Source organism: Homo sapiens, chromosome 14 (genome assembly GCF_000001405.40).
Source record: "Homo sapiens chromosome 14, GRCh38.p14 Primary Assembly".
In the NCBI taxonomy this organism is placed as follows: domain Eukaryota; kingdom Metazoa; phylum Chordata; class Mammalia; order Primates; family Hominidae; genus Homo; species Homo sapiens.
The window spans coordinates 81,316,867-81,329,826 of NC_000014.9; the positions used below are offsets into that span (position 1 = coordinate 81,316,867).

The 12,960-nt window shown below is 42.8% G+C and overlaps 1 protein-coding gene across 15 annotated transcripts in view; it reads right to left on the bottom strand.

Annotated features, from left to right (window-relative positions):
* STON2 (stonin 2) overlaps positions 1-12,960 on the bottom strand; it is a 175,814-nt gene that overhangs the window by 56,215 nt on the left and 106,639 nt on the right. For 9 of the 15 annotated variants that reach the window (NM_001366849.2, XM_011537242.3, XM_024449735.2 and 6 more), the window contains one exon: positions 7,151-7,321. The exons of the other annotated variants lie outside the window; for them this stretch is intronic. In NM_001366849.2, the coding sequence (NP_001353778.1) occupies positions 7,151-7,321 (171 nt within the window). The remainder of the gene's footprint in view (positions 1-7,150; positions 7,322-12,960) is intronic. 15 annotated transcript variants of the gene reach the window in all.

Consider the following 12,960-nt stretch of genomic DNA (forward strand, 5'->3'; position numbering starts at 1 on the left):
AAAATTAGCCGGGCATTGTGGCAGGCACCTGTAGTCCCAGCTACATGGGAGGCTGAGGCAGGAGAATGGCGTGAACCCGCGAGGCAGAGGTTGCAGTGAGCCGAGATCGCACCACTGCACTCCAGCCTGGGTGATAGAGTGAGACTCTGTCTCAAAAAAAAAGAAAAAAGAAAAGAGGTTTATTTGGGCTCATGGTTGTGCAGACTGTACAAGAAGCATGGCAGCAGCATCTGCTTTTGGTGAGGCCTCAGGAGGCTTTTACTCAGGGTGGGAAGGTGAAGGGGGAGAAGGCATGTCACGTGGCAAGAGAAAGAGCAAGAGAGATGCTAGGCTCTTTTAAACAACCAGCTGTTGAGTGAACAAATAGAGGGAGCACACGCTCATTAACACAGAGAGGGCACCAAGCCATTCATGAGGGATCTGCCCCCAGGACCCAAACCTCCCACCAGGCCCCACCTCCAAAATAGGGGATCACATTTCAACATGAGAATTGGAGGGGACAAATATACAAACCAAACTAGCCACATATATTGAAAGGCACAGAATGATCAATAGCAAAGCCTATAAATTAGTGGCCTAAAATAAAGTGCTTTATTCTTCTTCTTAGTGTCACCATAAAACATAATTTCTGCCCTGGAGAATATCTGAGAATCTCAATCATATGTGACAACACTGGTTTCCTGTCTCAATGAGAGAGGCTTAGGCACAAGCCTTTCACAAAATAAATCAGGGAAAGATGTGCCATCGGGAAGGGACAGTCTCACCCAAATCTCTTTTAACCACTGCAATGTTGGGCTCGGCTATGGGAAAAGGTCCCAGTGTTCAGAGTAGATGGAAACTCATATCTTTTCACCTGAGAAAAACGGGATGACAATAAGGGGATATCATGTGATCTAAAGTAAAGACACCACACACATAATACCCCTCCTGGAACTGGGAAGTGGATAACCAAGCCCAGTAACCCATAATCTTTACATTTTAGAGGATACAGTGGGAATGGAAACAGAGGCATTCTACAGGAATTCCAATGCCATCTCTGCAGCTATCAAGTTTGAGATATCTTCAGGACTTTCTCTTTTGTTTTTTATTTATTTTTTTATTTTGGGGGTGTGTTTTTTAGGCGGAGTCTCACTCTGTTGCCCAGGCTGGAGTGTAGTGGTGCAATCTTGGCTCACTGCAACCTTCACCTCCTGGGTTCAAGCGAGTCTCCTGCCTCAGCCTCCCGAGTAGCTAGGATTACAGGCGTGCACCACCATGCCCGGCTAATTTGTATTTTTAGTAGAGACGGGGTTTCACCATGTTGGCCAGGCTAATCTCGAACTCCTGACCTCAAGTGATCTGCCAGCCTCGGCCACTCAAAGTGCTGGGATTATAGGTGTGAGCCACTGCACAAGGCAGGAGTTTCTTTCCCTTCAAAATTCCATTAGACAGACCACAGCAGCTATGAGTCCCCTGCTTACTTCCACATCACGAGGAGCAGAAGACGGCTCCAGAGGATGCACACTTCTCTGCTTCTGGGTTATTCTAGGGTCCAGCTAGGACTTTAGGAGCCTTCCAAAGCAGGAAAAAATGCAACTCCCTCTTCATACACCCTTCTCCCACTGGGGAAGAGTATTTTAATGGCTCTATTTCTTCACTCTTCTCCATATCCATGCCCTTTGCCACAAGTATTTGCAGTTTCTCACACTAAAAAAGTGAAATAGGCTGGTCCTGGTAGCTCACGTTTGTAATTCCAGCACTTTGAAAGGCTGAGGCGGGCAGATCACTTGAGGTCAGGAGTTTGAGACCAGCCTGGTCAACATGGTAAAACCCCATCTCTAGTGAAAATACAAAAATTAGTCAGGTGTGGTGGCCGGTGCCTGTAATCCCGGCTACTCCGGGGTCTGAGACACAATACTCACTTGAACCTGGGAGACGGAACCTGTGATCACGCCACTGCACTCCAGCCTGGATGACAGAGTGAGACTCTATCTCAAAAAATATAATAAAAAATTAAAACAAATAAAAAAGTGAAATACATTTCCCTGCCCTGGCGCTGTGCTTGGTCATGTGACTTTCCTTGACCAACAGGATGCTAACAGATTAGTGACATTATCAGAAGCTTAAAATGAGCTTGCACACTGTGGCTTGTAGCCCCATCTCTGCCATCTCCACGAGAATAACATGCTAAAGGTAGCGGCTGGTGCCAAGGGAAGGATGAGAGACATGGTATAAAGCTACCCGCCTCTAGAGTCCAGCCTAAAATCAACCAATTGCCCCCCTCAAACCACAGACACAGTGGTTAGGAAATGCACATTGTTGTATAAAACAGATTTTGTGGTTGTTTGTAAAGCAGCATTATTGTAAGCAACAACTGGTACATATGCCATAGTAAAATTTCACCTGAAATTTAATGGTTAAAATACTGCTTGCTTTGTTTTCTTACTACATTATAAGTAATTTATACCTGATTTTTTTTTTCAATTGACTCTAAGATCCTCAAAGCAAGGTCCTATTACATTCCCAGTGTCCAGGATTTATTCATGAGTCCGCATCATGTCTAAACCCCAGGCAGATACAATGGTAAACAATATACATTCTAGCCATCAATATGCAACTGTGGATTTTTCCCATCTAGCATCTGGGTTAGTTTGCTTTTGGCCAAAGGTGATCATAAAGTTTACTTTTGCAGCTAGAAGTCTATCAAGTCAGTAATGAACTCTGAACCACCTGAGTGTTATTTGTTTAAGTATAGATGAACTGGAATCACTGCATCTTTCAGTAATGGAAGGGATTGACAAGACCATTGAATTATTGGGTTTTAATCCTGGTCAATTACCAGAGCTTTAAAAATTACAGGTTCCGAACCTTCATCTACAGATATTTGATTGAATACTCTAGTACAAGGCCTAGGCATCTGTGTTAAAAATGTCTCAGAGTAATGCTGACAATCACAAGAATTGAGGACCCACCACCCCCATTTAATAGAACCCCTCCATCCAGTGACTGAATCTCTTCTACTGAGTTGAACTAAGGGTTTATAATGACATTAATAGACCCCATAAGGGGACCATGTCCAGGGAACTACGTATCAGTTGGCTATGTTAGTATAACAAACTATTCCAAAACTCAGTAGCTTGAAACAATAAGCATTTATTATTGCTTATGAGTCTATGGATCTGGATGGATTTGTCCGATCTCTGCTAGGCCCACTCAAGTGTCTGAGGTTAGCTGGCTGGTCTAGAATTGCCTCACTCACGTGGCCAGTGTAAGGTCACTGTCACCTGGGGTGATGGGGTCTCTGGGCCACAGCAAGCAAGCCCATTCTGTCTACATTCCAAGAGACGCCAGATTCTAGGAGAGCAAGCAGAATTGTGTAAGTGAGCCTCTTAAGACCTTGGCTTGGGACCTGGGCTTGGAACTGACATACCCACACACCTTCACTTCTATGAATTCTGTTGGCTAAAGTAAGTAAAAAGGCCAAGCCCACATTCACAGGCTAGGGAAAGAGACTCCAACCCTTGATAAGAGGAGCTGCAAAGTCCTATCTCAAGGAAATAGATTTAAAGAGGAGAGTAATTGTGACCATTTTTATAATTAATCCATTACATAGCATAACATGGGGGAGAAACAGCACTTCCAGCCAAATGTGATTTCTTTCTAAGTGAGGGCTGAAGTTTTCACTCTCATCTCAAAAATTACAAAGTCCACACGTTAAAGCTACATCTTACATTCATTATTTCTACTCCTGCCTGCACATGCACACATCTTACTTAATCCTCAAGATCTCAGTCTGAAACTAAAGCGAAAGCAATCTATTTACTCTCAGCACTATTTTGTATTATCCTTTGGGGTTAAGAAGACTGGATGACACTCCCCTCTTATGAGGATGTGTTCAGGACAGGTCTCTGCGATGTCTCTTCCTGGCTTAGGATGTGCCTACAGATGAAATGTGACAGTGATCATCAGAGCCACACCCTCTAAAGGACCCCAGAGCATTAGCATGAGGAGCACCAAAGCATAAGAAGAAACATTACAGGAAAAGATAACACACAAGACCAGCAAATAACCCCAAGGAGCAGGAAACTGGAGCTCCTTAAAGACTACAGGCTGATGCTAATTAGATTTTAGGCACCAGCTGTTTTCTAGGCCCTCTTCACTCTACCTCCCTTCTTTACCCACCCTTGCCAGACTGTGACCACTTAGAAAACGCACTAATACTGCAGGGCCTGAATCCACAACTATTTTCCCTGATCCAAGCTCCAAGATGCATGCAGCGTGTCTGGGATGTCACAGCAGTTATTCTAGCATCTCTACAGCTAAGGTGCTGCTTTCTGTTTTTCAGAAAAATCACCATGACCTTTTGGATGGCTCCGCTCAAATTCTTTAAATGTTTACATGTGGGCCAGGCGTGGTGGCTCATGCCTGTAACTCCAGCACTTTGGGAGGCCAAGGCAAAAGGATCACTTGAGCCCAGGAGATCAAGACCAGCCGAGGCAACAAAGTGAGAGCCTGTTTCTACTTTAAAAAAAAAAAAAAAAAAAGAATTCCAGAAACCAGAAAACACAGGATGGTAGAGTGGTGGCCACAGCTGGGTATTGTTCTGAAGGCTTTTTGGAGGTGATGCAGCAACTGGTAAGGAGAAAGTACATGCTGCTCAAAGGCAAGGCTATCTCAAGTCCACAGTTAGATGCCTCTTTAAATATACAGTTTTCAATCAGCTTGGTAGGATCACTGCTTAAAGGACTAAGCAACAGAAGTAGATGCAAAACACAATGAAATAAAAAGAAATGCTAAATTCACCATACAGTTGCCTTAGGAAAGCCAAATTCAAGCAGATGTTGCATTCAATTTGCTTCATGAAGAAACCCCAGGAAGTTCTAAAAACATACCAAACAGGCCATGAATGGGAGTGTATAAAAGATGTACTTGAATGTGTTCAGAGTTCTGAGCTAAGGATTCTGGGAGCAACCAACCCAGAGATCCATTTCTTATCCATGAGGAACATCTGAAGCCCCCATCCCATCCCATGGAAACTGGACCATACAGGCGATCAAGGCCCTTTGATTTGGTCAAATGAAAGTTGCCAGGTGGAGGTTAGGGGGTGGGTGTTGAGTGAAAATGCTATATAAACTGCATGTTTTTGCTTTTTGTAAGTGGTTGTGGTTTTCCTGTTCAGCCTGCTGCGACTGGACCGTCCGTCTACATAAGTACCCCCTAATAAAAACCTGTCGTGTTTGCTGGCCCTGGGTCTCTTCTTCCACCTCTTGAATTGGTGCCATCCCTACTGAAGTTAACAAGGGGCTGGCACTACATGGAGGAAATTTGCCAACACTCTTCTAAACTGTATTCTATTCCTGAGCACTGATTCTGGGAGAGAAGCACGTTTGGAGTGGTGATGGTTTTGTACCGTAACGTGTAGCATCCAATGTACAAATGCCTATGAGAGTCAGGATGGCTATCAGTGCCGTTAACTGCATGGGCGACTTACAGTGGCTTCTATTTGTTTTTTAATCATAACTGAAAAGTCACAAATTTGAACCAGCAATCTCTAGGCAAAATCATCATCATGGTTCCTACCCCCACTTCTTGCTCACTTGGCCTCCAAATAAGTGGCATTCTTGGATTGTCTTCTAATGAGCTGGCTGATGGGGCTGCAAGCAATCTATGCTTTCGATTAATCAGCCAAGGGGAAACTAGAGCCGCAAAAAAACAAACTACTGGCATTATCACCACAGGAACACTGGGCATGACAATGATGACGTAGTGCTGATTTACCTCCAGCAAAAGACATACTACTGCACTTTCCTGAAACTTGGAAGAGGGGCATTCACCCTAAGAGAGAAATTTTCACCCTACCTGTGACCCTCCCAACTCATACCCTCACTCACAGCCAACTTCATAGACTTCCTATATGCCAGAAAGTTCAGATGTGCCATCTTGGTACACTGTGTTTTAGGGCAATTTGCTGCAGCTCTAGAAACCTGGATATGTTAAGCATAGGCTGCTCCGTACAGGGAATCCTTAAGTTGCCTGCACAGAGTTGCCTAAAACAAACCTGTGCTGCATATTCAGAGTCATCTGGCATAGGTCAAACCTTCACAGGTGTCATGGCAGTGCCTCAGTTTGGGCAATTTCTATTGCATTTCCCATACCGCCCTCCTATAAAACCCCTTAGCTTAGCATCCTCACACTCTGATGTAATTCCTCAAATTAACTTTACATGTAGCCTTGTCTTTCCTACATGTTTATGAATATCTTCCCAGGTATTAAAGTTTGGACTAGGCCAAGAACAGAGGCAGCAACTTTATTCCTTCACATGTCAGTGCAATCAACGGCTTGTGTTTAGAATAAATATTTGAGACACACAAGCCTGTTAACAATGCAGTGCTTGATTACTCTGAATTACTCTCTCACCCACAGCAACTGAGGGAGAGGGCCTTGGCACCAGCTCCCTGCACAAAACCTGCTTCCCAGCCTCCACCATTTGCCTCCCGACCATTCTCTCAAAGAATTCTCAACACACTATACAAAGATCTCAGTTTTCTCCCTTAAATGCCACACAAATTCCACATTGAACACAGACTTTTTTCTTCCCATTAGCACCACAGATTTAATTCAATACCTTCATGTTCACAAATATTTAATTGGACTTACCTTGTAACTCTTTTCCTCAAACCCCACCTTGCATCTTCCGTTCCACACTGAACTCCTTTAAATAAAGGGTCTCTTTTTGTTTGTTTTGAGACAAAACATCACCTTGGTCTATTACAAAGCTATCTTGACACTTAAGCTACATTTCAATTAGTCAGAGGTGCCTATCTATTAAAATGTCCACAATCCTTCACACTTTTTCTTCCTCAAAACCTATTTGGTAAGCAATGTAGTTTTTTGTTTTGTTTTGTTTTTCTACAGTGCCAAAAGGGTACATTGTACTAACTAGAGGTAATTAGCATGTTAAGTTTTCTTCCCAGGCCAGGCTATCGGGTTACAACTTCTAATAAACCCTCCTGCGAAAAGACATTTCTTTGTCTGGGGACCACCGAGAACTAACCAAACAAAACACCTTCAATTGTCTCAGAAATTCTGCCATCTAAACACAATCAAAAAGAAAAGCCAACACCAAAGCAAATAAAATGAATGAAGCGTTCCTGCTGCGGGCAGCCCTTACCATTGGGAGCAGAGGCCCCCTCCGGACCCTCGCCGGGGTTCTGGCTCCTCTTGGGCTGGGGTGAGGGTGGCGAGGGGTCCAGGCGGTGGGTGCGGGTGGAGGTATGCTCCGAGCATGCTTGAACAGGACTCACTGCCGTCTGCCTGCCTGTCTGCCACTCCGTCCTCTTGTCTGGGTGGGAAGGGCCAAGATGAAAAAAAAATGTGCAGGTTACTCACTGGCCTTCTCTGGCGGGCAGACACACCCAGGAGGAGGGAGAGGCCAGGCGCAGACAGGAGAGTCTTCAGAGGCTGAGCCTGAGATCTCCCTTCTGATTTCCTTTTGTGATTACTTCCTGAACTTTAAGCTCAGTCTGCATGGGCATGGGTACTTAGGGAGGCAAATAACACTTGGGTAATTAGATTCTAAGGGCTTAATGCAAAGGTTACTTCAAAAGGCAGTGCTTTAGCACACATCCTTTTGCATTTCACTCTGAAATTTGTTTCCTCCGAGTTAGAGTGTTAACACTAGCATAGGAAATGAGAGTGAAGGGTTACTCTGGGGCAGGGGTCTGGAAGAGCCTGGAGCAAGCAAACCTGGATGTGATTTAAACAATGAGTTTCTGGAGTCACTTTTAGGCTGAATTTTAGAGAAACAGGATTCTCAACAGTCTCCCAGTGCCTATGGACTTTGCCTTGTCCAAGGGGCACATTCTTGAAGTAGGCATCTAGAAATCAAGATTTTAGAAATGGATTCACATTGAAAGTTCAAGAACTTATTTGATAGCCTGACCTCTGATTAATCCTGAAATGAAGCCTTTCACAAATGGATAATAACTTGTTGGTTTGGAGGAAGCATGGGTGTTCATAAACAAAGGCATGGCAGTAATACAGCTGAGGGAGATGGAGCGGAGGGCGACGGAACAGGTACTTGCCTCAATTAACCCTAAAAATGTGCTTATGAGGGAGGATAACTGTTCCTCTTTCACATGTGAGCACACTGAGACCCAGAGGTTAGGGAACTTGGCTCATGCTGGGCCAGCTAGTGAATGGGAGACCCCGGATTTGGACCCAGGTTTGCCTGAACCCAAGACCTGGTATCCTCCCACCATACAGCCAGGAATGCCTTTCACCACTCCAACACTCACCTTTCCTCCACCTGCAGCTGACCTAAGGCTAGATACCTTTCCTTAAAGTTTTATAACTTTTCCAAAACTGATATGCCATGAAATGTAATTCTGTGGGTTTCTAGTAAGTGCAATAAAAGGGGGAAAATGTACTATATAGGTTTCTCTACCGTAGCTTCTCATAGCCTTTTGTATGCTAATATACATTGTGACTCTCCAAGTTCAGGACCTACAGTGTGCCACGTTTCCCTTCCCAAAGAGGGGAAGGGATCTTCTGAATTTGGGAAACAGTATTAAAGAGATGTGTTGTTTTTTTCTCCTCCTCTTTTTTTTGAACTTATAAAAAATTCATTATAAAAAACTTCAAACAGTATATAAGGGCATAAAATAAAAAGTAAAAAATTCTCTATTATTCTTAACAATCTGTCCCATTCCCCAGAGGTAACCACTGTTAGCAATTTCTTATGTATCTGGTTCAGAAATGTTTATGTATATAAAGCATATATGACTACCCTCTTAAAAACAACATAACTTGGATTAAAGGATACCCGTGATGTGTTATTTGGCACTTAAAAAAAACTTAATGATACATTTGAGATTTTCCATATCAGCATATAGAATTGCTTGGGCAAGTTAGAGTCAAGAAAAGTAAAAGTTAGGTCTAAAATACTGGATTACCACTTTATAGAAGGGTCTGCAATAGGGGCCACAGTATGCACAGAGGGGCAGACTGAGAAGGGATAAAGAAGAGGGACTCACACCCCTGTAAACATGATTACAATTGAATAGATACTACACGTTTTACTCTACGGGTTAAAAAAAAAAAAGTGACAGAGAAACGAATTTCTTCCCTCTTCCAGCTCTCTCACCCCAATGTATTAATTGAATAAAGCCTTACCCTAAACAACCCCAGCAATCAGTTGCTATTATTATCCTCATTTTACAGATCGAGAGAGCAACCTCAGAGTATGCACCCAGCACACAAGAACGGCAAAATAAATGCTTGAAGTTTTATTAATGAAGCAAACATGGCATTGGCCACCCTGATTTTTGCCACGCTGTGTTCCTAAAAGCCACACTATAAAGTGGATCCTATTTTCCCTTAGGAACAATGTTGTAATTACGGGTTCTGTTCCAAGACCTCATGTTGGTTTCCTATAAATTCAAGACATAATCAATAAAATCTTGTAAAAACAGAGACACAACAGTAAATCTAATAATCATGTAAAATAGTAAAATGATGTTCCATGACTCAGATTTTGCGAGATTGGCTCATACAACCCCTCCTTTTTACTGATGATGGAAAGAATATCCAGAAGATTGTGTGGATCTTCTCTAAAAGTATATACCTTGTTATACTGTCTCAGTAATGAAACAATTTTAAAATGTGCCCACATTTGAAACCTGCATTACACAAGGAACTCCAACATACTCTACGGTGTACATACAAACATATTGTATCACAAATTTGACACAATATTAATATACAAGTTAGAACAGGCATTACTCGTTTAACTAGAAATAGCTTCCCCTGCCTGCCTCCTTAGAATTAAAAGGTCATTTGAGGAATGATTTGACTGACTCATTTCTTAGAAAAACTGTCTAGGGATAATGTGAATCAATACTTTCCTATTTTCTCAATATGTTTTTCTGTATAAACCAGAGGCTTTCAACATCATTCCATGGGTTTTATCCCTGCTAACACAGTTGCAGAAGTGTCTTCATAGTTTGAGACATTACTTGGGACCTTAGATTGATTTGGGGTGTACAGTTTGACCTAATCCTCCTGCACTCCTGACAATTCTTTCTTTTTTATTCCTCCCCACCCATTGTCCTAAGTAAGGAAGCCAACATGGCAAAACCCCGTCTCTACTAAAAATACAAAAATTAGCCAGGCGTGGTGGCACGCGCCTGTAATCCCAGCTATTTGGGAGGCTGAGGCACGAGAATTGCTTGAACCTGAGAGGCAGAGGCTGCAGTCAGCCAAGATTGTGCCACTACACTCCAGCCTGAGCAACAGCGCAAGACTCCATCTCAAAATAAAATAAAATGTGAATTATAATTATTTAATATTATCCAGTCTCTAGACAGTGTTAAATTCCTCTAAATATATCAAATTTTTTTTTATACTTTGTTCAAGTCAATACTGCAGTTGGTTCATAGGTGTTGTCGTTTTATCTAAACATTCTTTTTCCATCTTTATTTTTCTTCCTTGCAATTTACTTCTTGAAGAACCTGGTTCTTTGCCAGAAAATGTCCCACAATCTACATTTTGATCATGGTATGATTTAACATGTTCCTCTCCCTTTGGAATTTATAGTTAGATTTAGAAGTTTGATCGCATTTAGATTTGATTTTCGGACAGACTAGCTAGTTAAAAGGCAGTCTTACGTACTTCCATCAAGAGGCAACTGGCGTTTGATAAGTTCTGGTATTTGTGCACTTAGCAACCACTGAGAATCAATGCCTTGGTATTATTTCCTAGGGATTGAAAAATGATTTTCTTCCATTTCTTCCTCATTCATTAACTGGGATGCTATTAATATTAAAGGCTTATACTTTCCAAAATGAAAGCATACATTTCCCGTTTCTGTTTTTGGCCACGACATGTTATGTTAGACAATATATATTTTTTCCACCTACGTATTTCATTAAAATCTATTTTACTGAGATTATTAGTAGTATTATAAATAATTACTCAGATTTCTGTAACATAACAACAAGTGGAAAACACCATTCAGAAACCTTCAGTCAAAGAGTGGTGAAGGACTGGTCCACAGTACACCACTCAAGTTCAAACCTAATTTTGCCACTTGTGAGCGCTATGACTTTGGTCAAGGCTTTTCATCTTCTTACCCTCAGTTTTTTCATCTATAACATGGAGATAATAAAGCCTACCTTACAGCTTTTATGAGAATTCATGATAAAGTATGCAAAGAGTATGTTTCAGTGTCTGACAAATAGTAGATACTCAATAAGTTGTAGTCATGACTAGTTTCATCGCTGTCTCCCCCATACCAAGCACAGTGCCTGGCAAACCGCAGCTGCTCAATCAATATCAAGTGAGTAACTTCAGGGATGATTGGCTTTACTTTGTCTCAAGCTGATGGTGGCTTTAATAGTTCAAGATCCTGGGAATATAGAAGTCTATTAATTAAATGTAAATAGAAGTCTATTAATTAAATGTAAGTCCATTCATGGGCTTACATTTAATTGGCTGTAGGAATGGAAAAGGGCATGATTTGCTCCCAGGTTCAATTATCCCAGTCAGCTATTTTGAAAGTAAGTACTACTGGTAACCCAGGGTTGAGGAGCAGAATCAACTCAACTATATCTACAGAGAGGTACGAAGACATCAATTTTCTCCAAAAGAAAGATGTACCAGCATTGCTATCACCTTGACTTGGCCTGAGGTGCTCTGAGGGCTCACTCAGTGTACTGAGTTAAACTGTGTCCCTCAAAAGATAGGCTGATGTCTGCTACAGTTTGGATGTTTGTCCTCTCCAAATCTCATACTGAAATTGGACCCCCAGTGTTGAAGGGGGGTGCCTAATGGGGGATGTATGGGTAATGGGGTGGATGCCTCATGAACAGATCAATGCCCTCCCTGGGGAGGCAAGGGGGCAAGTGAGTTTTCATTCTTTTAGCTCCCAAGAGAGCTGGCTGTCAAAAAAAGCCCGGCACCTCCCCTCTCACTCTCTCACAGCCTCTCTCACCATGTGACTTCTGTGCATGCCAGCTTCCCTTGTGCTTCCCACCATGAGTGGAAGCAGCCTGAGGCCTTCAACAGATGCAGATGCCAGCGCCATGCTTCTTGTACAACCTGAAGAACCATGAGCCAAATATCTTTTTCTTTATAAATTACAGTCTCAGGTATCCCTCTATAGCAACACAAAATAGACTACGATGTTGAAGTCCTAATCCCCAGAACGTACGAATGTGACTTTATTTGGAAATAGGGTGTTTACAGATGTAATCAAGTTAAGACGAGGTCATATTGGATTAGGGTGAACCCTAAATCCAGTCACTGGTGTCGTTATAAGAAGAGACATGGCCGGGCGCGGTGGCTCACGCTTGTAATCCCAGCACTTTGGGAGGCCGAGGCGGGCAGATCACGAGGTCGGGAGATAGACCATCCTGGCTGACACAGTGAAACCCCGTCTCTACTAAAAACACAAAAGAAATTAGCCAGGCGTGGTGGCAGGCGCCTGTAGTCCCAGCTACTGGGGAGGCTGAGGCAGGAGAATGGCATGAACCCAGGAGGTGAAGCTTGCAGTGAGCCGAGATCGTGCCACTGCATTCCAGCCTGGGCAACAGAGCTAGACTCTGTCTCAAAAAAAAAAAAAAAAAAGAGAGAGACAAAGATACAGGGGAAAACGTCATGAGAAGATGGAGGCAGAGACTGGAGTTATGCTGCCACAAGCCAAGGAAAGCCAAGGACTGCCAGCAACTAGAAGAAACCCCACTGACATGTTGACTTTGGATTTCTAGCCTCCAAGACTGTGAGAGAATACATTTCCGTTGTTTTCAGCCACCCAGTTTGCGGTAATTTGTGACAGCAGCCCTAGGAAACTAAAACATACAGTGAACTCAGACCAAAAGTATGGATCAGTCAGCCTACCTATGGCTTAAACCGTTTAGTGGGAAAGAGAGAGAAGGGGGTGGGGGAAATCCTAGACAGGAGAACCTGAGTCAGCTTTAATTT